Source organism: Homo sapiens, chromosome 12 (assembly GCF_000001405.40).
Source record: "Homo sapiens chromosome 12, GRCh38.p14 Primary Assembly".
In the NCBI taxonomy this organism is placed as follows: domain Eukaryota; kingdom Metazoa; phylum Chordata; class Mammalia; order Primates; family Hominidae; genus Homo; species Homo sapiens.
The window spans coordinates 27492246-27517588 of record NC_000012.12 but is presented as its reverse complement, the minus strand read 5'-3'; the positions used below and the strand labels follow the sequence as shown (position 1 = coordinate 27517588).

General features: G+C 38.7%; 1 protein-coding gene and 1 pseudogene across 7 annotated transcripts in view; both read right to left on the bottom strand.

Moving 5' to 3' along the window:
• Positions 1–15403: 15403 nt before the first annotated feature.
• The window catches only part of SMCO2 (single-pass membrane protein with coiled-coil domains 2), a 78870-nt gene continuing 68930 nt past the window's right edge, over positions 15404–25343 (bottom strand). For 6 of the 7 annotated variants that reach the window (XM_047428776.1, XM_047428775.1, NM_001395208.2 and 3 more), the window contains 3 exons: positions 23233–23289; positions 21734–21909; positions 15404–15666 (listed from right to left, as the gene is read on the bottom strand). In XM_047428776.1, the coding sequence (XP_047284732.1) occupies positions 15468–15666; positions 21734–21909; positions 23233–23289 (432 nt within the window). In that variant the 3' untranslated portion in view covers positions 15404–15467. Of the gene's footprint in view, positions 15667–21733; positions 21910–23232; positions 23290–25343 lie in introns of those variants that run through there. The other variant, XM_011520636.3, reaches the window with a different exon arrangement.
• Positions 18906–20664, bottom strand: RARS1P1 (arginyl-tRNA synthetase 1 pseudogene 1; annotated as a pseudogene).

Below are 25343 nucleotides of genomic sequence, written 5' to 3'. Positions count from 1 at the left end.
CTGTCACCTGGGCTAGAGTGCAGTGACGTGATCTCGGCTCACTGCAACCTCCGCCTCCCAGATTCAAGCAATTCTCCTGCCTCAGCCTTCTGAGTAGCTGGGGTTACAGGCACCCACCACCACACCCAGCTAATTTTTTGTATTTTTAGTAGAGATGGGTGTCACCATGTTGGTCAGGCTGGTCTCGAACTCCAGACCTCATGATTTGCCCACCTGGGCCTCCCAAAGTGCTGGGATTACAGGCATGAGCCACCGTGCCCAGCCAGTATGTCCGTCTTTTAAAGGCTTTAAACCTCTTAATCTTATTTCACTTTAATTTCCATTCGATCCTAAACGGCTTGAATTCTGAATTATACATAATGTAATAGCCATATTAGTGCCTTTTACATTCATTTCTGAAAAAAGGTCATCACCCATTTCTGAATAAAAGAAAGTGTAAGAAATATCACCTCTTCTTTGGTAAAATTAGTTAAGTGTGTGCTCTGAGTTATAAGACCCAGCATCATTTGACAGTTTTGAGCTTCAGTTTCTTCATCTGTGATTGGGATGTCATTAATGCAAACAAACTAAAAAAGGGTGTTCCATGAAACTCTGATGCTGCTAACTCCACAACTTCCTTCTGAGAGTCCGAAATGGCTCTGTATACCCAGGATTCCTCGGCAACCTTCCTACGACACTTCAATAGCACTGATTGAAGCATGGATTCCCACCTGAATGAAGACAGCCAGGTATAAACTTGTCAATGGCCTGGGGCAAACAGGCACAGGAACTGTTCAGCAGAGATCTGTACTGAACACCCACTAACGGGGCCATGTATATCTTCCCTCAAGACATTTAATATGACACATTGAATATGTCTAGAAAACCAGACCATAGAGTAGAGCAGAAGCAAGGAGGCACATGGAATAAAGGTCATAAACAGAATGAATACAGGTCATGCACAGAATAGTAAGTAGAAGCATGAGGTCTAGAAGATGAAATCAGAAGAAAGTAGACAGGAGCTGAAGTAAAACATAAAGCAGAAAAGGGTGGCATGTGCTGAGAGTCACACCTAGAAAAAGCAGTAGTCAGGAGCCATGAGGTGGTGGATGCCACAGGGGTGGTGGACGCTAGCTACTGAAGGAATCAAAAATAGGACAGCAATAATTAAAATGGTAATGATGATAGTGAACACATGCCGATTTTTGTGTATCAGGTACTACAGGTTGAGCATTTCTAATCTGAAAATCTGAAATTCAAAATGCTCCAAAATCTGAAATTTTGAGTGCCAACACGACGCTCAAAGGAAATGTCCATTGGAGCAATTCGGATTTCAGATTTTTAGATTAGGGATGCTGGCAAGTTACTTATAAGAACCTGTAAGTAAAATCCAAATATTCCAAAATCTGAAAAAAAAAAAAAAAATTGAAATCCTAAACACTTCTGGTCCCAAGCAGTTCAGATAAGGGAGACTCGAACTGTATTTTAAATGCCTTTAAATATATTACCTTCAACCCTGTTTCCACTTTGCAGATGAGAAAACCAAGCCACAGAGAGCTTAAGTAACTTGTCCATGGTCACATAACTAGGAAGTAGCATAATACAACCGAGTTTGGCAGTACAGTCTGTGCTGAGAGAGAAGCTCAGCCGTAAGAATAATAGACTAGTAGATTCACTCTTGAATCCCGGACTGTGCTCCAGTTCTCATGAGGCTTGACGGTTCAGTGGTTTTCCTGCATTTCCTCCCTTCCTCAGGTAGTCTCACACTAAATTTCTATCACCTGAGGTAATCTGAATACTTTTAATGCCTTACGACTTGAAAGCGCTTAAGGAATGCCGTGACTTTAAACGAGATAATAAATGTGAGAGCATTTTACCTTCCCTGAAAAAAATAGAGCAGACAAAGTGAAGTGTTTTATTCTGAAGCGAGGTGAAAGTTCTTAATGTATAATCTGGTGATCAAGATTAAGTTTGCCTCTAAATCATATTACATTGTGACATTACTTTAGGTCAACCTCAGTCTGTCTTGGTGGTATATTTTTGTCACACATTGTGGGAATTTTAGAATGTATTAGTTTACAACATATAATTATCATTGCATATTAATTAAATATCATTATATTAATTACATGGCCCTGTTCTACTTCATTCCTTCCCTAAGCAACTAGCATGAAGAAGCTATGATTACAAGGGCAATGAACAAAGGGCCAAAAGAAAAGAAGCTTGAATATTGTTTTATCTTTCTACAGACTCTCATATCAGCAGCCAGATCACTTAGGGTCTTGAAGGAGTTTAGATTTATTTATTTTAACTATAATGAGAACAGAGTCAGGACATAGCATATCTCATGTTACTAAAATCAAAACAAAAACAAAAAAACAGGCCGGGCACGGTGGCTCACGCCTGTAATCCCAACACTTTGGGAGGCCAAGGCGTGCGGATCACGAGGTCAGTAGTTTGAGGCCGGCCTGACCAGCCTGACCAACATGGTGAAACCCCGTCTCTACTAAAAATACAAAAATTAGCCAGGCGCGATGGCGCACGCCTGTACTCAAGAGGCTGAGGCAGGAGAATCGCTTGAACCCAGGAGGCGGAGGTTGCAGTGAACTGAGATCATGCCATTGCACTCCAGCCTGGGCAACAGAGTGAGACTCCGTCTCAAAACAAACAAACAAAAAACTTCCCTCAATCAACCCTATTTCACTTTTATTGAGTTACATTTATGAGAGTAACCAGTAGTATAAGGAAAGATGCTGCTTCTTATAGGACTGGTTTGTAAAGTTCTGAGCTTTCCTATCAAAAGGGCAATCAATGGATATCGTGACTTAGTGATTCCATCTGTTACCCACACAACAGGTAGATTTGGTCACTGGGCAGGTGTTAACCCAATGACCACAACCAAGGAGGATTTAACAAGGGGATTTTAAAAATTAATGTAACACATAAGGAGAACAGGACTAGTTCCCAAAGCATTGACTCTCTTAGCTGGGGGCTGAGCCAGGTTTTATAACCATAGGGTAATGAGGTGTGATCTGATTGGATCTTGCAATGAGGTAATGTCGGGAGGCATGATCTGACTGCTTCCTGCCATCGGGACACCAGAACTCGATTTGATTGGATCCTGCATCCGGCCGTGAGGTGTCTACTTCTTAATTCAGTCTCCAATCCTCCTTCTGAGCATTTAAGTTCACTCTGTTGTTGCACATTTAGTTCATCTGGGCATGCTCTGGTTACATGACCTGACATCTGTTGAGACAGAAAAACAGCTCACAGCTTTGTTACATAAAAGTTGAACCCAATTGTTCTGGGGTGGCTACACATCATCATGTTAAGAAGGAAAAGATTTGGACCCTAGATTCAGCCCCCTTTGGGAGAGGTTGAATTGCAAAGAAGAACTGCTAAGATTTCTTCTGTTCACTATGCTATGAAATCTACCAAAATACCAGCAGAAGATTCAGTTAGAACTTTGTCTTATACTAAAGATTATTGCCATATAATATTATTGTTTGGAAAAGCTTTCATGTTGGGAGTTTTATTCTAATCCATTCAAACTCCTGGTGTCTAAATTATTTTAGAAGATAATAAATATGTCAAATAAAATAATTGCCTCCTTTCAAAATGTCACTCAGAATCCTCTGGCTTTCTTTACCTTCTAATGTGGATTAATCTTATAAGGATCAGCTTTATTTATTCTATCCTATTTTAGACATCAGGGTTGTGTTCGGTTGACTTCTAAAGCTTTATTTATTTATAGAATAAAAGGGTCATATGTGTGGAAATAATAACACTTTTGTCAGAAAGTCAGGCAACAACACAGATGCTCTGGAGTCCAAATGCCACTTGCAGTGGAGCATACTTCCTGGGTAGCAGGCAAGAGAGAAGGAGGAGAAGAAAAAAGTCACTTGCCCTGGAGCAGAGACCCTCAGACTATAAACAAGCAAATCATCAAACAATCTGCATTGTTCGCCCCAGCAGAATCTCTCAGCTTTAAAATATCCATGCTCTCTCCTCCCCATCTCCACTCTCTCTTCCCACTGACTAATGGCTCATTGACCGTAAATGGCGAAAAAGAAAACAAACTATTCTTTCTTGTGATCCTGGAACTCAACCCAGGCACGACAATTAATGTCAAACTTTGAACACCTTTCTGGGTTGCCCTTTCATGTACTCTGAAAGCTTCGTCCTAGAATCTGATTTAATCTTCCCAACAGCCCTAAAAGTAAGTGCAATTATTACCCCCACTTTCCAGATGACAAAGCTGAGGCCTAGAACCAGAATCGGCTCCATGGGTGGGTAACACGTGCAGTTGCACAGGGCTGCTTAGAGTGGTCCCCATACTTGGTTTAATGCTTGACTGTTGCTGTCTTGAAATTCTTAGAAACTTTTAAACAAGGGAACCCACATTTTCATTTATGCTGGACCCTGAAAATTATGTCACTTATCCTGCCTAGAAGGGTTAAGTAACTTTCCTGGGGTCCCTGGATTAGTTTGCTTGGGTTATCATAACAAAGTCCCACAGGTCAGGTGCCATAAACAACAGAAATATATATTCTCATGGCTCTGAAGGCCAGCAGGCCAACATCAGTGTCAACGCAGGTGGTACCTTCTTCTGAAGCCTCTCTTCTTGTCTAGTGGATAGCTACCTTCTCTCTGTCACTTCACATGGTCTTTGGGATGAAGGCCCACCCTCTTGGCTTCATTTTAAATTAATTACCTCTTTAGTTGTCATTTCATAATTGTTTGTAATAAAAATGGAAAACAAAAATAAAGAATAAAAAAAAACTTACTCAAGTCAATGTAGCTAGTATGTCATAGGGCTGGTTTGTCTACCTTGAAAGTTAATATAATTTCACTCCATCAGAAATTTCTTTAGAAAAATATGAGAAAGGTACATTTTCAAAATTAATAACTTTAATGAAACTGTATAAGAATGTCTCCAACAGTAGCAGAAAAAAATCAGAATATTTTATCTTTTAGTGGACAATTATCTAGGCAAGTTAACACACTGTTTAAGGCTAAAGACTGAAATACATATGACACATACATATCTTAAATTATATATGTCTTTATTTTCATTCATTATTTCCCCTAAATCATTGTATGGTTTTTTGGAGACATTATGAATTAGATTATTCAGGTGCTCAGCCAACTTTCTCACAGTGTTTCCATTTATGTAGCATTTGGATGGATTATTATCACCATACTTTCTTCCTAATGTCTTATGATAACTTAGTCAAGGTTGTGGGTTTTATGCCGGCATGAAATTCAGATATTATAAATCTGAGCTATTCATTCAGTAACCTTAATGTGGAGGCAAAGATGCTGACTGATCACTTGTGTAATGATCTACTGCATTCATTCTCCATGATCCATTTGTTTCACTCCTAAAACCAAAATCTTTTTTTTAAAAAGGAATCATTTGACACTAGCCGATGTTGAATTTCAGCTTTGCAGTTTTCTGTAACTTGAGAGCATATAAAATATACAATGAAGGGTTATTAAAAATAAATCAAACATCTTAAAAATAAAAATAAAAAATAAAAAAATTTAATTAATTACCTCTTTAAAGACCCTATCTCCAAATACATTCACGTACCAGGGGTTAGGACTTCCACATATGAATTTGACAGTGACAAAATTCTGCTCATAACCCACAGCCACTAAGTGGAAGAACCAGTACGCTTTTTTCCCTTCACTATGTTCTATTTGTCTTCATGAAATACCAGTGTGCATATGTAAGAGCAACTCTTCTTATCACTGGTTGGAGAAGCAGAGGCACAGAAAGGTCACTACTTGCTATTGTGAACAAAATGGCAATACAGGGAATATGTTAGTGACAGTCCTGGGACTAAATCTCAGCTCGCTTGATGCTAAATCTACTGCTAGGCCAGTATTGCTTTTCACAACCTACACACACAGACACGGATGCCAGAAAAAACTGTGTCTCTCTGCAATTATAGGTTCTTGGGCTGTCTGCCTTTGGTAGATTTCAAAATAGCACAGTTGATTCTGTTTCCAGCCAGGAAAAAAAAACATCATTACTCTTCTACTCACAAGCATACAAAGACACCTCTGTGGAATGAATCCAGCATACTGTATCCTAGCCTCTTTATCTCATTTTTGGCTGGCTCCAAGTATGACCAGTCAGCAGTGAGAAGAAAGTTTGCTGAGATAACCAAGGCTTAAGGTAACTCATTTAAATGATAAAACAGGAAACTCACTTCTAGTTTGGACCTGGATTGCATTTTAATGTGAACAGATCTGGAGTCTGGAACTGAAGACTTGGAATCGTACAATTATATTAAGTGACAAGGAAGGGAAGGAAGGAATTTCTTTTGAAGAGTTCTTGGGTGACAGCTGAGCAGGGAGAAGCATTTGTTACGCTGTGGCTTTTGAGTGGAGGGCGAAGGGTGGCAGATCAGGGAGAGAATATTCTGGTCCTAGTCCTGGCTCTGGCACAAACGTTGGGCAACTGACTTTACCTCTCCAAACCTTAGTTTCTTTTCTGCAACATGATGCTTTCAAATCCTATTTATCTCTCAAGTTTGGTGCGACCAGTGGGGTGTAGTAAGTGTTCTTTGTACAAACAGGAGAGCATGACATACAATTTTTCATTTAAATTCAGTTCCCAGTTATTGTAATGTGATATTTTATAATACATTACTTTAAAATAATTTTCCCTTATGATTAAAACATTGTACATCAGTGGGGAAACCAGACAATACCTTGACCAGGTGATCAAAATTAACATCACCAATGAGGGGCAGATGGACTTTGTATACTTCCGGAGATGATATCCTGAAAAGAACTCAACACCACTTAGGTAACATTCTGGCCAAAAATGCATAATCTGAATCTAATCCTGAATAAGCATCAAACAAACCCAAACTGATAGACATTCTGGAAAATAATTGGCCCTACTGTTAGAACATGTCAAGGGCATGAAAGACAAAGAAAGGTTGAGAAAGTCATCCAGATAAAAGGACATTACAAAGACTTGACAAGATTCCTAATACAAGATCCTAAACTAGATCCTACATGGGAAAGAATTTCTATAAAGACAGCATTGGAACAATTGACAAAATTAGAATGTAGGTGGTAGACTAAAGTAATGTATCAATGTTAAATTTCCTAAATTTTACAGCCATATCATTGATCTGTAAGAGAGTATTTTTTGTTCTTAGGATATACACTTCCAAGTATTATAAAGAAAAGAGAATGGCAACATAGCAAGACCCTGTATAGAAAAATAAAAAATAGAAAAAATAGAAAATAGAAAAGAAAAAAACAGAAAAATAATAGAAAAGAAAAGAAAATTAGCCCAGTGTGGTGACCTGTAGTCCTAGCTACTCAGGAGGCTGAGGCAAGAGGATTGCTTGAGCCCAGGAGGTAGAAGCTGCAGTAAGCCATGATTGCACCACTGCACTCCAGCCTGGGTGACAGAGTGAGACCCTGTCTTTAAAAAAAGAGAAAGAGAGAGAGAGAGAGAATGATATATGCAGACTTTCAAATGACTCAGGAAAAATTATAGAGACAGGGAAATTAATTTAGCAAATGTGGTAAATGTTAAATATTGGTGAATCTACATAAAGTGTATATGGGAATTTCTCATTCTAGTCTTGCAAATTTTCTGTTAATTGTAAGAATACTTTTTAATACAAAGGCTTTTAAAAAGTTAAGCCTGACATGATGGCTCATGTTTGTAATTCTAGCACTTTGGGAGGCCAACGCAGGTGGACCACTAAAGCCCAGGAGTTCGAGACCAGTCTGGGCAACATAGTGAGACCTAATCTCTAAAACAAATGTTAACAATGTGCCAAGCATGGTGATATGTGCCTGAGGTCCCAGCTACACAGGAGGCTGAGGTGGGAGGGATCGCTTGAGCCTGGGAGGCTGAGTTGGGAGGGATCACTTGAGCCTGGGAAGTCAAGGTTGCGATGAGACATGATCATGCCACTGCACTCCAGCCTGGGCAACAGAGTGAGACCCTGTCTCAAAATAAATAAATAAAGTTAAAACATTCACTGCATAAATTTTTCTGAAGAAGAAAAGTCACTTACAATCCTACCATCCAGAGAAGACTGTTCACTTTTTGTGTGTACTTGATTTCTCTAGAAGAACGAGTTATTTGGTGGCAACTGAGCAGCATGAGCATTTGTTGTGCTTCAGCTCACAGGTGCAGTGGAGGGGGAAAAGAGGCAGATCAGTCCTGGTTATTCGTTTGTTGGGGCCTGTAATCTAGTCTGATCAGGTGGTTCCCAGGAGGAAGTCAGCCTGGAGCTTCTGGGAAAAGATTTTCTCCCACTCTTTCCTTCTGTTGCATAAAAATGTTTGGAGCCACGGCAGCCACCTTGGGACTATGACGGGAGAGCCAAGAGAATGGAAGAAATGGTGACTCAGAGCAATGACACCATTGAGCTGCTCAACTAACCAACCCTGGAACCACCCTCGCTGTGGATATTTTGCCACATGAGATAATAAGTGTCCTTATTCTTTAATCCAATATAATTTAGGTATCCTGTTACAGATAAAAGCATCTCAACTGTTAAACCTCTACTTTTATAGAAGTTACTGCAACCACTTGCTTTGCTTGTTTATCAACACATGCAGCAAAAGCCCTTCCAAAGGGAAAAAGTCATGAGACAAAATCTGATTTTTGAGCATATGGCAGTCTCACCAGCCAGAAGCTATTGGGACAGGCAGTGTGAGCTCCTACCCAGAAGGTGGGAAAGGAAGCCAACATAATGCTCTGGAATGGAGAGGCCTTCAGTACTAGAAAAAGTAACTGGACTTTAGGCTTGAAGAGAAGATTCAGTTTGGGGATGAAGTGGAGAAAGCAGAAAACGTTGTAGCCCCTGAAGTAGCTCACATCCAAGCTGGGTGGAGAGTGAGGCCATTGGCCGTTCCTTGACTATGTCAATGACCTTTGCATCTATATTGCTTCTGGGAACAGTGGTCAGTGGCAGAGATGATGCCAGAGATGGCCAGGGTTGCAGGTGGTTTCCAAAACCTGTAGCACTGGTGAAAGCTGCACTTGATATTGAATAAATGTTAGTTCATTGATTCATTAATAATTTTTGTTTGCTTGCTTGTTTTAGAGACAGGATCTCACTCTGTCACTGAGTCTGGAGTGCAGTGGCACAATCATAGCTCACTGCAGCCTCGAACTCCTAGGCTTAAACGAGCCTCTCACCTCAGCCTTCTGAGTAGCTAGGACTACATGCACCTGCCTTCATTCCCAGCTGGTCATTCACAAATATTTTGTGAACATTTACTATCTTCTAAGTAGTGTGCTATATGCTAAATATGCAGGGCTTAACATGGCATTGTTCCTGCTTTCATAGAACGTACAATCCAATTTGGGGAGGCTGCATGTCACTTGAAAAGGACACAGATATTGCAGCCAGATAAATCTAGATTCAAATCCTGATGCTACCTTTTACAGTGGGACTCTAAACAAGTTACTATCCTCTGTGCCTCAATTCTCTCATGTATAAAAATGGGGATAATGATAATACCTGGCTTATAAAATAATTGTGAGGATTAAATCATAAAATGTGCATGAAGTACTTAACACAGTGCATGAAACATACTAATGTTTTTAAAACAACATGACTGTTGTTAGTTATTACATATTATTGTTATGTGTATATCTAGCCCATTTCCTCCCTCCTGGTTACCTACCCCTTTTAAACCTTGACCCCCTCATCCTGGGTACAACTTATTCCTTTTCCTCTTTAGCCTTTTAGCATTCAGACATGTTTTCGGATATTTTGTATATAATGTGATGTCTATATAGTCCTAGTTTAGTCTATGCTTTTGTGGAGCTTACATTTTCATGGAAAGAGACAGATAAACAATAAACCTAATAAGTAAATTATATATTATGGTAGAAGTCATGACAAAAAATAGAACAGGGCAGGTTTGGGAGAGGTGGGATGGGGATGGGAGGAATGCAATTTTAAACATGATGGTTATACGAGCCTCATTAAGAAGACGGCATTTTAAAATTCACTATTTTAAAGTGTACAATTCTGTGGTTTTTAGTGTAGTCACAATGTTGTACAACCATCAACAGCATGAAATTTCAGAATATGTTCATCATTCCAAAAAGACACTCCAAACCAATTTGTAGTCACTCTTCCCGACCTCTGACAGCCATTCTTCTGCCTTGTCTCTGTGGATTTGCATATTCCAGACACTTTATATAAATGGAATCACTCAATCTGTAGAATTTTGTGTCTGGTTTCTTTCACTTTACATAATGTTTTCCAAGGTCACCCAGGTTGTAGCATGTATCAATACCTCATTCTGTTTTGTGGTTGAATAATAACTCTATTGTATCAGTACACCACATTTTGTTTATCTATTCATCAGTTGATGGATATTTGGTTTGTACTTTTTGACTATTATGAATGCTGCTGCTATGAACATTCACATACAAGTTTTTATGTGGATATATATTTTCAATTCTTTTGGATATATACCTAGGCATGGAATTGCTGAAGGTATATGGTAACTCTATGTTTAATTTTTTGAGTAAGTGTTTTCCACAGTGGCTGTATTATTTACATTCCCACCAGCAATATAATAGGATTCTAATTTCTACACATCCTCACCAACACTTAGTATTATCTGTCTTTTTTATTACAGCCAAGAAGATAACCTTTGAGCCAAGATTTGAAAGTACTGTGGGAGTAAGCCATGGAGAAGAGACTTCCAGGCAGAGGGGCTGGCCCAGGCAAAGCCCTGGTGACCAGAGTGTGCCTGATGTGTTCCAGGAACACCAAGATGAACAGTGGAACTTGAGAAGCGTGATCGAGAGGACAAGTAGAATAGGATGAGGCTTGAGCCAACAGAAGGCAGTGGCCAAATACAAGTAGTTGAAAGGACTTTGGCATTTACTTTGAAAGAAATGGAAAACCACTGAAGGGGTTTGGAGCAGAAAGGTGACATGATTTGACCTGCATTATAAAAGAGTGTCACTCTGACTGCTGAATTGTATGTGGGCAAGGGTGGAATCAGGAGAACGAGAGCAAGTTGGTTGGTTTTTGCAACAATGGTGACATGCAAAGGTGGTTGCTATCAGGGAGGTGGTGAGTAGCAGTTGAATTCTGCATGTGTTTTAAGCAACAAGATTTCCTGACAGACTGAGAGTGGAATATGAAAAAGGAAGGAGTCAAGCAAGACTTCATGGCTTGTTGTTCACTTATTTTTACTTTAAGATATATCAGGAAGTGTGTTCAAATTCATTTCTTCACTATTAGGTCAAACCCAAAGTTCTTAATTAAGGCAATCTCACACGTTTAAAAATATTATTCATGGTAATAATAATAATACTCAAAACCTATTAAACATCAGGCTCTTTAATCCAGCAATCTCATGAGGCAGGTATTATTTTTCTCAATTTATATATGAGTAAACAAAATCGTGAGAAATAACTGGCAGCTCCCCTAATTTTTGTCCCTGCTTCCAACATAGGATCAACTAGAGAAAGTCAAATATGCACCCCCTAATCAATCACCTGGGATGTCCCAATCAGGGCTTATCCAACCTTGCCTTTTTCCCACTCTAAAGCTTTCCCACTCCTCTGCCTGCCTTTGAGTCTCTGCCAAAATGCAACTGATGGACTCCTTTGTTATTGCAAGCTCTGAATAAATAGCCTCTGCTTGTTCTCATTTGACTGTTCTTTATTTCCACAAGTGTCTTAGGTAATGTTCTCTGGGAAAAGGACTCTGAGACAAAGACTTGCACACAGGTTTACTGGGGGACACTCACAGGGTGGACAAATGTGGAGGGGATGGTAGAAGCAGAATGGGGCAGATGGAGATGAAATGTGATACAATTGCACTAGAGGCCTCAGCTGACCCCACCAGGAGCTCTGCGGCTAGGATGGCCCTCTAAAAAGGTACCCTGGGTTAGGCATTGGATGCAGACCACCCTTAGGGAAGGAGAGGAAGCTTAGGTTAGACAACTGTCTTTGACTAAGGCCAAGTCCAAAGTAGGGTCTTGCTATGAACTCTCAGCAGATGGGGAATGGTTGTTTGGATCCCCCTCCAGGGAGAGAGATTAGCTGACCCCATCCAAACACAGTTGACAGTGGATCATGTCTTGAACCCAACTTTAAATCCAAGTTCAAAGCTCCTTTCACTACAGCATAGCTGTCTTCACCTAAAAACATGACAAATGGAGATTTTGTGAAACTCATGTTCTTTCCTCTTAGTCCAAAACCAAAAACATATTTATGCAGTGATTCAGACATTTTTAGCAAATGGTTTAGAGTACAGCAGTTGGCTCAATTGAATATGGCATTAAAATATCTGAAATAAAACCCGACCTGACCAACCAAAAGCAGTTAGCTGAGTTACCACACGTAGACATTCATACCCTCTTAATATTTCCATATGTTACTAAATGTTTCCCTCTCTCAATAGAGTACTGTGACTTCCAGCTTCCCAGCTTGAGATGCTGATGAATTGAAAACAAATTGATGTGAAAATATTACCATTCCCACTTCAAAGATATTCATCTCCCAGGGAAAAGTATCCCATCTTAGTCAAAATCCTAATCAAATATGTCTTGGAAGTTAGTAAAATATTAATTTATTCTTTAAAACAATCTAGTCCTCTAACTTACTTTGTCTTTAGTGTTATGTGACTATCACAAGATTTTAAGCTTTATTGAACTCACTACTTCTTTTTGGGATTTACGGGTAAATCAACCAGTACTGTTTCTAGTTATGGGAACTTACCTGATGATTATAAAAAACATACACCAAGTTCTATCTATAAATTTGTCTGAATAGTCCTTGTATCTGTAAACAAGATAACTGTGACTTTTTAAGATCTGTCAGCATAGTCCCTATCACAAGACCTTTTGAATATGTTAGTCATTGCTCCCAGAGCTTTTGGCTCTTTGCCTTTCTGTGTGTCCTGGAAATTCCTTTACGCTCACCCTTTCACCCTGCTCCCAAAGAACCTTGATTAACCTTGTATGGGATCTCAGCTAATTTGTAATCCCAGGTACCTTTTGCCCATAGAGCATGGTGTTCTTAAACTTTGAGTTATAAGAATTGTTAGGGGAATCTATTAAAATAGAGGATATCAGAGATTCATACCACATTTAAAGAATCAGAACTTCTGGAGGTGATGCTCAGACAAATGTAGAATTAAATGCCTCTTTTTGGAATTCTGTTAAATATCACAGCTTGAGAACCACTTGCAAACAAATTGCATATTTCTAGCAACCAATACGCCCAGTTTTCTGGCTACAGAGTATCAGGATAAAAGTGATGATTGGAGTCCATTCTTTTCAGCAGCTGTGTACATAATGACAATCCATGGAAGTAGAAACAACAGGCTGGATTAGGCCAACAGTGATCCATCTCTATGGTAAGACCTATTAAAAATGTTAACTAAATAAATGCAAATAATAGGGCTGATCTAAGAAAAATATCTGTAGAAGAAATTGGCATGGCCAAGTGATTGCTAGAACACAAAAATAAGATAGTAAAGGAGTTGAAAATTATTTCAAGGGTGTGGGAAGATGGGGGCATTGGAAAAATGGCTGTGATTGAAATTATTGAACAGATAAATATTGAATATAGGACTGAGGTGAGGTGATAGGGAGGCTGCAAAGATAAGAACCACATAGTTTAATTTACTTCAACGGGTATTTATCAAGTCCATACAAACTATGTGCACCGCATTTTCCTACAGTGTACCAAGGCATGGTTACCCAATTTGGATTTTTATTTTTAAAAATAAAGTTCCCGGGCCGGGCACAGTGGCTCACGCCTGTAATCCCAGCACTTTGGGAGGCTGAGGAGGGCAGATCACCTGAGGTCAGGAGTTTGAGACCAGCCTGGCCAACATGGTGAAACCCCGTCTGTACTAAAAATACAAAATTAGCTGGGCGTGGTGGTGCGTGCCTGTAATCCCAGCTACTTGGGAGGCTGAGGCAGGAAAATCGCTTGAACATGGGAGGCGGAGGTTGCAATGAGCTGAGATCGCACCACTGCACTCCAGCCTGGGTGACAAGAGTGAAACTCTGTCTCAAATAAATAAATAAAGTTTCTGGATCCTGCATTAGCTCTACTGAATCCAAATATCTGGGAATGGGGGAAGTCTCTAATGTATAAAGCTCCCCAAGAGATTCCAGTGCATCTAATCAATGGGCCAGCATTTGGGAATCACTATTCCAGAGACCAGAAACATGAATGAGGCATAGTGTTTGTTTCTAAAGACTGTACAAACTGGTATGGTGAGCTCTATGCTGTACCAGCTTTCCTAACTTTGTTTTATATTCCTGGCTTCTAAATTTTACTCATGGTTTTTCTTTTCTCTGAAATGCCTTTTTGTCATTTCTGCCATGAAAATATTATTCATCCTTCAAGATCCAGTCAAATATGAGAACTGGGACCGTATTGCATATCTCTTGGCCACCAGCCTTCCAACTCCACGTCCATTACACAACCAAATACCGTTAAGATCCAACCTCATAATGTCTGCTTCATTCATGGTCTTTGCATTTCCATCTCCACCTCTTTGGCTCACCTGTACCACTGAATGGCTTTTTAACTACTCTTGCACTCCATCTGCCCTCCTACTCTAATTTATTCTTTATGGTTCTATTTAATATTACTTTTGCACATTTTAATTATAACTTTTTTATATTAAAAATAAATGTTAGCATTTTCCCATTAGCTACAAAGTTAGGGATAAAACACTCTAGTCTGACATTCAAAATTCTCTATTGTATCAGTTAGACTTCCTTTGATTGTAAGCAACAGAACCAGTCTGGCTAATTTAAGCAGAAAAAGATACGGAGTGGTTTACAAAATCAAAGTTCTAATCATTTCCTTTTGATTTTGTGAATCTTCTTAAAATTCTCAGTTATAGAGAATGTCTGATGCAACAGTTTTCCAGCTCTTATTAATAAGAAGACAGGGGACATTGACTGAAAGACCGCCTATAATTAGGCCCGCTGGGGATAGTTCTTTCAAAGCAAACTTCGGGTGCTATTATCAAAAGAAGAAATAAATGTTAAGGAGAAAAGCCAAGAAATGCCAACTATCTCCAAAATAGGGCTCCAATTCAATTGAAGTAAAATTGGATACAGTGGAGGGGAAAGAATTTTATGCTTTCTTTTTTGAGACAACAGAAGTCAAAATGGAGAAGATAACCACGGGAGATAATACTTTGTGGTCTCAATGTACCCCATGTTGGGGGAGAAGGAAGGTTAGTGGTTTGAAGAAAATGTTTTCAACAAAGTGTGGAATGATTCAAGAAGGGATTGTGATTCATAAAGGTAAAGATAAGCTGTTTTCATTTTTTTTCCGTGATCAATCAACTTCTGTGTAATTACAACGTTCTTTACAAAAACCTTGTACGTTATTTTTTGAAAAATAAGTTAGCCACCACAATACAGGAACAGCCACAATGTTTACTGGTGAGAAAGTCAGTAGGGTGACAGTAACTTCTGTATCTTTAGGAGGGTAACAAGGCTTCCACTTCCAAATTCAAGAAAGGCTCTCTCATCTCCCGTAGGTCCCATGTGGTGCGGCACCCAAGCATTCTCAGAAGCACCCTTTCAAAGAGAAATGTAGCACCAAAAAATAGTATGTAACATAAAAGTCCAGTGACGGTGAGGACATCAAACATGATGAAAATCCTCAGTGCACGTTTCCTACAAAGAGAGAAAACATCTGTGTTAACCAAATTCTGAAAATAATCACATTGATAGGCTCCTGGCACCTCCACCCAGGTAGCTCTAAAACTTCAACTAAGTAATTTTCTCTTGACTTCAGTTTACATTTGTAAAAGCAGCAGCTTGGAATGGAGGAGCACTTATTTATGTTCATGCTAGGTCTGGCATTGGAATTTCAAGATCCTATAGCCATGAAACAATAAAATCCCTGGATAGTGTGGGGTTCTTTCCTTTGAAATGTCCTTCTCACATCCTAGCAGGTTATTGCAATCTTTACCTCACTCATGATGTATATGATGTCTCTTTTTGAGCAAACAAAGGCACAGGCAGTTAGATTTTCCCCAGGACACAAAGTATAACGTGATAAAGGGAATTCAGAGCTCTTTGCCCCTAGTTTTTGTCCTGGCACCAGACTTTTATTTGTAAAATAATAGAAGCTTTTTTTGTTTTGTTTTGTTTGTTTGTTTTTTTTTTTTTTTTTTTTTTGAGACGGAGTCTCACTCTTTCGCCCAAGCTGGACTGCAGTGGCGCTATCCCGGCTCACTGCAAGCTCTGCCTCTTGGGTTCATGTCATTCTCCTGCCTCAGCCTCCCGAGTAGCTGGGATTACAGGCGCCCACCACCACGCCCGGCTAATTTTTTGTATTTTTAGTAGAGACGGGGTTTCACCGTGTTAGCCAGGATGGTCTCGATCTCCTGACCTCGTGATCCGCCCGCCTCGGCCTCCCAAAGTGCTGGGATTACAGGCGTGAGCCACCGCGCCCGGCCAATAGAAGCTTTTTTAAATCCTTGAGGACCCATCCTTCTGGGTTGCACCTATGACATATTTTATTGATATGATTCTAAGTCCTTGCATTATTATTTTCTAGTTATAAATGTATTATATGATTAGGGCAGAAAATCCAGAAGAACACAAAGAAGAAATGTCATAGATCATCCAATTACCTGAGATAATTACCATCTATAATACATCAGAAGAGAAAATCTAGAGCATAGTTAAAGCTAGCCATGGATCGATTTTGTGACCTAACTCAGTGGTTTTATAAACCAGAGCCAAGTTTCTCGCCATTATCCCCACTGGCTATCACTTGGCAGTTACACACATAATTGCTTTCACTTCACACATTTATTAAAGAGCCAATGTTCTTAAGATACTCTATTAGGAAGGGGCTTAGAGAGCTGATAACAGGAAGCAGATGTGTCCTGCCTTCAAGGAGCACCAAAGGCAGATTTGTTCTTTCTTATGAAAAGAAAAACAACTCACTACGAAAACTATCTAGTAAATAAACACTGTTCCTCCTAAATTAAAAAACCAGTCATCTTTGGAAATACTAAACTATGACATTTTCAAAGAAACACATTTTAACATTAAGTTTTTGGAAAGTAAAACAAATTTTCTAAAGCAAAGATAATTTGGAAAACAGAGAAATGAGGAAACTATAATCTCATCACCCAAATATAACCAGACACATTTTTTATCTTTTTTCCTTTCTTCCATTTATTCATTCATTCTTTTTATTTTGTCTTAGTTTTTAGTTTAATTTTTTCCCTACATTTAGAGTATACTCATCTAGTTTTTTCTGTCCTACGGTAAATACTCTTGGTACAGTTAAATTCATATTTATTTCTTGACAGTAATGAATCATTTGATTTTTATTTACAAGTCAATACAAGTTTTAAAAATTTAAATTTTCTATTACTAAGCATGATATTCATTTTAAAAGGTCTAGACATTTTTCTTTGGGAAAAAAAAATAGTTAACTAAATTGAAATAAGTTTTCTCATATCACCTGTACAGAACCAAAAAAATGTGTCACTAATAATTTTATTCATTTTAGACATCTTTGGTAAATAATAAAATATTCTTTTAACTTTTGAATACTATTTATTTAATTTTCAAACCTTGCCACGTGTAAAACCTTTGATCTTTTCCAATATCTCCACATTATTTATGGTCAGTACATAGGGGATGACCATAAAGGGAATGGAAGGACTAGGGGACATTATCAATAAAAGGCCACCTTGTGAAGCTAAAACCAGCAAAAATCGATTCATAATGATTGAATTAATCCATAAGGCAAACTTCCTCAAGATGTTAGTGTATAAATATGCTGTAGTTAAACCAATATATCTCCAGTTCTTTAACAAGAGATGGGCAAAATTTCAGGCAATCTTAATTAGAATGTAATCATGTGAGAAAAAGATGAGCAACTCAGCCTGATTATAATCCTCCGATATAACACAATAAAGCGATACGTGAAAGGCATTCACCTATTTACTTATTTGTCTGGTTGGTTGGTTTGGAGTTATTAGTCACATACTATAAAATTCACTCTATACATTGTACAATCCAGAGGCTTTTGGTTTAGTCACAAGGCTGTACAACCATCACCACTATCTAATTCCAGGAAATTTTTGTCACCCCAAAAAGAAACCCCATTCCCTGGAGCAGTCACCATCTCCCTATTCCCCAACACTCTGTGCCTGGAAACCATGAATCTACTTTGAATCTATATGGATTTTCCTACTTTGAACATTCATATAGATGGAATCATTTGGATATCCCTCTGTGTCTGGCTGTCTTTCACTGAGCACAATGTTTTCTAAGATCATGTTGTGGTATGTATCAGTACATCATTCTTTTTTGCAGCTGAATAATAGTTCATTGTGTGGCTACACTGCATTTTGTTTTTCCATTCATCAGTTAACGGACATTTGGATTGTTTCTACTTTTTGGCTATTATGAATAATGCTGCCATGAACATTTGTGTACAGGTTTTTGTGTGGACATTTTCAATTCTTTTGAGTATATACCCAAGAGTAGACTTGTGGAATCATGTGGTAATTCTATATTTAACCGTTTTAGAAACTGCCAAGTTGTTTTCAAAAGTGGTTGTACCATTTCGCAATCCCACCAGTGATATACGAGGGTTCCAATTTCTCCACATCCTCTCCAATGCTAGTTATTGTCTGTCTTTTTTACTGTAGTCATCTTAGTGGATGTTAAGTGGTATCCCACTGTGGTTCATTGTGGGTTTGATTTACGTTTTTTTTAATGACCAATGATGCTGAACATCTTTTCATGTGCTTGTTGACCGTTTGTGTGTCTTCTTTGAAGAAATGTGTATCCAAGTCATTTGCCTGTTTTTCAAACTGGGTTGTTTATCTTTTTGTTGTTGAGTTGTAAGAGTTATTTTTTTTTCACAGTTGACAAACGTTCTTGTGTTAATATAATGGTTATTTAAAAAAAAAGCAAACAATGCTAGTGACCAGTGTGGTAAAAACATACAGTGTTCAAACCTAAGCAGGATTACATCCTTTGGACAGGTTTTATTCCCGGGATATTGAACTCCTCAGCCAGGACAGCATCTACTGCTTCACGCAGCAGCGTACACCACATGTTCACCTTCAATATCTCTCCACTCTTGTCGATCTTTCTCCACACAATAGCAGCTATCATAGAACTCTGTGAAAGTAGCTGCCAGCTCATATATAGAACCACAAGAACCAGAAGTAAGTCATCTAAAATCTTTTGTTGTATCTCAGGGAGCCATAAAATGCCATGGCCTAGTTTCCATTCTTTCTCATGGTGCAAAATAATCTTGGTCTGTCAAGCAGCTTTTTGGAGCATCTGATCATTGATACTGGCCAGATGTGCAATAGACCTGGTTCTAGTGAAACCACACAAAAAGTAAGCAGCTGTATTTCCTCTGTCATCTAGCATTTTGTCAAACGAGAAGATGTTGTCACTCAACCGGTTATGGGAAAGTTCAGTTTATTTGATACAGCCATAAGCAACAGATGTCTAAGCAGCACTCAATTCCTCTGCAGTTAAGACCTTGCTTCTTTCTTTTTCCTTCAATTTGTCCATGGATCACTTTAGTCCTTATTCCAGGTCTACGAGATGAACTGTTTCATCTGAACATATATTAAACTTCTTGTCTTCCCCTAGCAACACACCAAATCCAGCACGGGAGACTCTAGTTACTTTAGGATCATACCAACCAATCTTTTGAGCAGCAGCAAATATTTTTTGGAAGTGCAGAGATTGTCCACTGTTCACCCAGAGATAACCATATCTTCTTTCTCCTCAAATAGTTTTTGCTTAAGAGCAGCCAGATCAGATGCATCATAGTTATAACCTCCATCTGATTTTTTTTTTTTTTTTTTGAGACCAGGTCTCACTCTGTTACCCAAACTGGAGTGCAGTGACACGATCTCCAGGCTCACCACAACCTCGACTTCCCTGGGCTCAGGTGATAGTCCCACCTCAGCCTCCCCAGTAGGTAAAACTACAGGCATGTGTCACTGAATTTTTTTTTTTGTAGATACAAGTTTTCACCTTGTTGCCCAGGCTGGTCTCAAACTCCTGGGGCTCAAGTGATCCACCTGCCTCAGGCTCCCGAAGTGCTTGGATTATAGGCATGAGCTACCACACCCAGCCTCCATCTGATTTTACCATGGTTAATGGTATGGAACATCCTGGGACCAACACAAACTTTCTGCCATCATCCACTTGCACAAATCATCTATCATCAAATTCCTTTACATCATTCATCCTATCTTGACAGAAGAATTATTCTTTATCTATTAAAGAGATGTCCAGAGCATCATAGATTTTACTAAACTATTGGCAGGAGATATCACAGATAAACTTTCAAGTTTTTATAATATCTGGATTTTTACTCTGGAACAGAATGTGACACTGATATGCTCATTTCTTAAATTCCTCCTCAGTATCAAACCTCTTAGATTCCTTACAAAAGGCCTGAAGATTTCCAATAGGAGGTGAAACTGTTAGACAAGCTGGAAATTTATCTTGCAGGTGAGGAATATGCATGTCAAACTGGGTCCCCCAATCTCCTACATGGTTTAACCTAAGCACCTCGTATCCTGCAAATTCAAAGAGGCAGCACATGCTCTCTCCTATGATGGTCAACATGAGGTGGCCTGCACACATCTGTTTGAGCATTATGAGCATCTTGTATACGTCAAGTCCCCAAATTACGAAGATAAGATTCATGCTTTTGTGTATCCCTTGGAGTATTAGGAGAAGACAGATGTGAAACAATTTAATTTCAATAACATGCCATGGGCTGTCCGACAGGATTATGTGCAAGGTGTGCACATAAACTTTTACAACTCAACAGCAAAAAATAAAAGAACAACCCAATTCTTTAAAATGGGCAAAGGACTTGATTGAAGACAGAGCTGAGATTCTACCTGGGTTGGTGGTTGGAGATAAAGAATCAAAAATGTTTTCTTAGAGGAAATTACTTCTCAGGGTGTAAATGATGGTGTGGCATCTCCTGGACAGGATCCAAAGAGCCAGAATTTGCTGGTAGTGTGTTTCCAATACCATCCAAGGGTAAGGCATCCTGCACAGCAAACAAAACTTTTCAAATTTCTTATGAAAAGAACATAACTGATAAGAGTGGAGGTGGTTGCCTCATCATGTATAGATACCATCTTTTAAGATTTTAGATAGATATAGATAGATTTTATAGATACATCTATAGATATGTAGATAGAAATAAATCTATATCTCTCTATACATAGACAAATCTTTATATATCTATAGAAATGTATAGAGAAGCTTCTCTGTATTTGCAGCCATCATGGAAGAAAATTTAAAATTAAAGTGTTGACTTAATGTTGTTTGGAAGAGTTTTCAGGCAAAAAGGAACAGACTAACTAAAAATATAATTAACATTAATAGCCACCCACAAGAGGTCTTTGGTCATATATCTTTGATCATGAAGATATATCTATCTATATTTAGATATATTTATCTAAAGATAAATCTTTAGATTTATCTGAAGCAGTAAGAAAGCAATCTATATATATCGAATGCAATAGATCTTTATCTAAATAAGAAAAATCCCATGACTCCAATGAACTCCAATGACTTTTAAAGAACATAGATAATTTACAAACGAAAATAAAACAAAACATTTTAGTCAACACTTGAAAAAAATCAATCCCAGCATAATCCATACATTTTGGGGCAGTCATCCAGCCCTGAATGGCCTCTTGCTCTGACTTACCATGCTGTATTGCGGGGAGGAGACTTCTGCACTAAAAAGGATGCTGGGGCCTGAGGAAGCAGGGCCTCCATCTCTTCCGTATCTATTTCCTCAGAACTGTGAGAGTCAGTGTCCTCTGCCTCCATTTGATACATCCTTAGCTTTGCACTCAGCAGTTCCACATTCTTGCAAAGGTCCTGAAAAAAAAGAGTAATCAAGTACCTTAAAAAAATTCTAAATGTCTCCAAGTCTTACTATAGATAATGCTGAGTGCTTTTCCTCTGGATCACCTTGGGGGCCCACATTAGAAATCACACATAGGTCCCATGAACAGATCATTGGCAGGTGCATCTTGAATAGAAGCAGACATACACATTCACAGTGTAAGGTAGCACTACGGTAGAAAACTAAATGAAACCCACATGCTAATCTTTAACCACTAGATTATTAATGTAGGAAGATGTCCTTGTACTAAATTCCTCTACTCAACTCGTTCATCTATGCAAAGCATATTTATTGGGTGATTACTGCTAACAGGTTCTAGGATACAGTGTTAACAAAATAGACAAAGAATACAATCTATTACAGGGGCTGGGGGCAAGTGATAAACAGCTAAACACATACATACATTCTATATTACATGTTAAGATACACACTAAAGAGAAAACAAATAGGGTGTGGGAACGGAGAGTGTCTGAGGTTTGGTGATGGGGACATCTACTCAAGATAGTTGGGATAAGTTGGACTCAGAGCAGCTGACAGGTTGATACATTCATTCTTTCATTGTCTCATTTGCCCAATCACATTTACCTCAATGTCTAAGATCTTGTGGGAGGAGTTCAAAGATGGAGTTATTTTTTGAGGTAATGGAAATTAGGAGAGGTCTCAATGAAGAGATGACCTGTGAGCTGAGCCTTGAAGAATGGGTAATATGTAGACCCGAAGGGCAAGCACTAGAAGGCAGGATGAGAAGTAGAAGTAGCACAGGGGTGAGAGCTTGGGAGTACACTGGAATTGTGAATGTTCTGTTGGCCCAAGCAGAAGGCCAAAGGGAAGGAGGAAGGCCATAAGACTAGAAACCATCATTCTCAACAAACTAACACAGGAACAGAAAACCAAACACTGCATGTTCACACTCATAAGTGGGAGTTGAACAATGAAAACACATGGACACAAGGAGGGGTACATCATACACCAGGGCCTGTTGAGGGGTGCAGGGCAAGGGGAGGGATGGTATTAGCAGAAATACCTAATGTAGATGACGGGTTGATGGATGCAGCAAACCACCATGGGACATGTATACCTATGTAACAAACCTGCATGTTCTGCATATGTAACCCAGAACTTAAAGTATAATAATAATAATAATAATAATAATAATAATAATAAATTAAATTAAATAAAAAAGAAAGAGACTAGTATGTGGTGCACCGTCATATTCTAGGCAATGAATGACCCCTGTATTTAGACATAAATTATCTGATTTTATCATTGTTTGAATTGTGTAACTGAAATCTTACCTCCAGCCTTTCTATGACTTTCTTCTTTAATTCATAAACTTCATTACAAGTATTCACCTAAAAACACATCCACAATTCTGGGTAAAATGAAACTTATATTTTTCTGGTTTGTACAATAAAATCTCACTTATTTTGACAAACCTTATAAAATGCTTCATTGAAGTTTACTTTTACTTTGTAAACTTCTTCCTCTTAGAGCAAATTCATAGTGTAATCATAAATTGCAGACTGTAAGTGGTATAACCATAAGATTAACATAACAAGATTATTTTCAATACTTTAGAGGTATGCATTTACACAATAGCAGTTAATAATAAATCATGCTTCTCTCTTCATTACTCCTTCCTTGCTCCTTAAAAAACTTCTACCAGGACACAAGTTGAAGAAACATAGTTATGTTTCTGAGAAAATATTTCTTTTAAATATTTAACATTTTAGAATTTATGAATGTAAGTCATTATGTCAGACTGAATATTCAGGCCGGACGGCTTTGCAAAAGAGCTGTCCACAAAAAGATCTGGTTCCTCTTCTTCTCTTCCCATGTCTCCTATAGGTTGCCAGGTGGAGACAACAGATGGTTTTGGCTGGTTTCTGTCAATAAGCACAAGACATGGGCTGAAAGCAAACCATCACCTTCTAACACGTGAATGCCAATTGCACGTGTCACAAGTAAAGAATGCTTTTAAAGGTTTTAAATTAATCATCCACTAAGAGACGTTCAGGATACCCTGAAAAGCAGAGATATAGCAGGAAAAAGAGTATACTAGGATTCAAGAAAAATGAGTTCCAAAGATGACACTTATAGAAATTAATTTTTTTTTTTTGAGACAAGGTCTCATTCGGACATCCAGGCTGGAGTGCAGTGGTGTGATCATGGCTCACTGCAGCCTCCATCTCCCCAGGCTCATGTGATCTTCCCACTTCAGTCTCCTGAGTAGTTGGGACTATAGGCATGTGCCACCATGCCCAGCTAGTTTTTTATTTTTTGTAGAGATGAGGTTTCTTTCTCTTTTTTTTTAACTTTTATTTTAGGTTTAGGAGTACATGTGAAGGTTTGTCACACAGGTAAACTTATGTCATGGGGGTTTGCTGTACAGATTATTTCATCACCCAGGAATTAAGCCCAGTAGCCAACAGTTACCCCTTCTCCTCTTCTCTTTCCTCCCACCCTCCACCCTCAAGTAGACCCCAGTGTCTGTTTCCTTCTTTGTGTTCATAAATTCTCATCATTTGGCTCCCACTTATAAATGAGAAAATGTGGTATTGATTTTCTGTTCCTGAGTTAGTTTGCTGAGGATGACAACCTCCGGCTCCATCCATGTTCCCACAAAAGACATGATCTCGTTCTTTTTTATGGATGCATAGTATTCCATGGTATATATGTATCACATTTTCTTTATCCCAACTGTCATTGATGGGCATTTAGGTTGATTCTATGTCTTTGCTATTGTGAATAGTGCTTCAGTGAACATTCACGTTCATGTGTCTTTATGGTAGAGTGATTTATATTCCTCTGGGTATATACACAATAATGGGATTGCTGGGTCGACTGGTAGTTCTGCTTTTAGCTCTTTGAGGAATCGCCATACTGCTTTCTACAATGGTTGAACTAATTTACACTCCCACCCACTGTGTATAAGTGTTCCCTTTTCTCCACAACCTGGCCAACATCTGTTATTTTTTGACTTTTTAATAATAGTCATTCTGACCAGTGTGGGAGATGATATCTCATTGTGGTTTTGATTTGCATTTCTCTAATAATCAGTGATATTGAGCTTTTTTTCATATGTTTCTTGGCCGCATGTATGTCTTCTTTTGAAAAGTAGAGACAGGGTTTCACCATGTTGCCCAGGCTGGTCTTGAACTCCTGGGCTCAAGCAATCAACCCGTCTTGGCCCCCCAAAGTGCTGGGATTACAGGCATGAGCCACCATGCCCAGCCTCAGAAATAGATGCTTAAAGAAGTACTTGCAAGAGCAATCAAGGCATGGATTTTTGAGGCATAGTTTGTAACGGCAAACATTGATTATAAAGTACCAAATATCCAACAAAATAAAATTCATAAATTCAAATATCAAGCCCTGCATTATATAGGAGTGAAAAAAAAGTAAA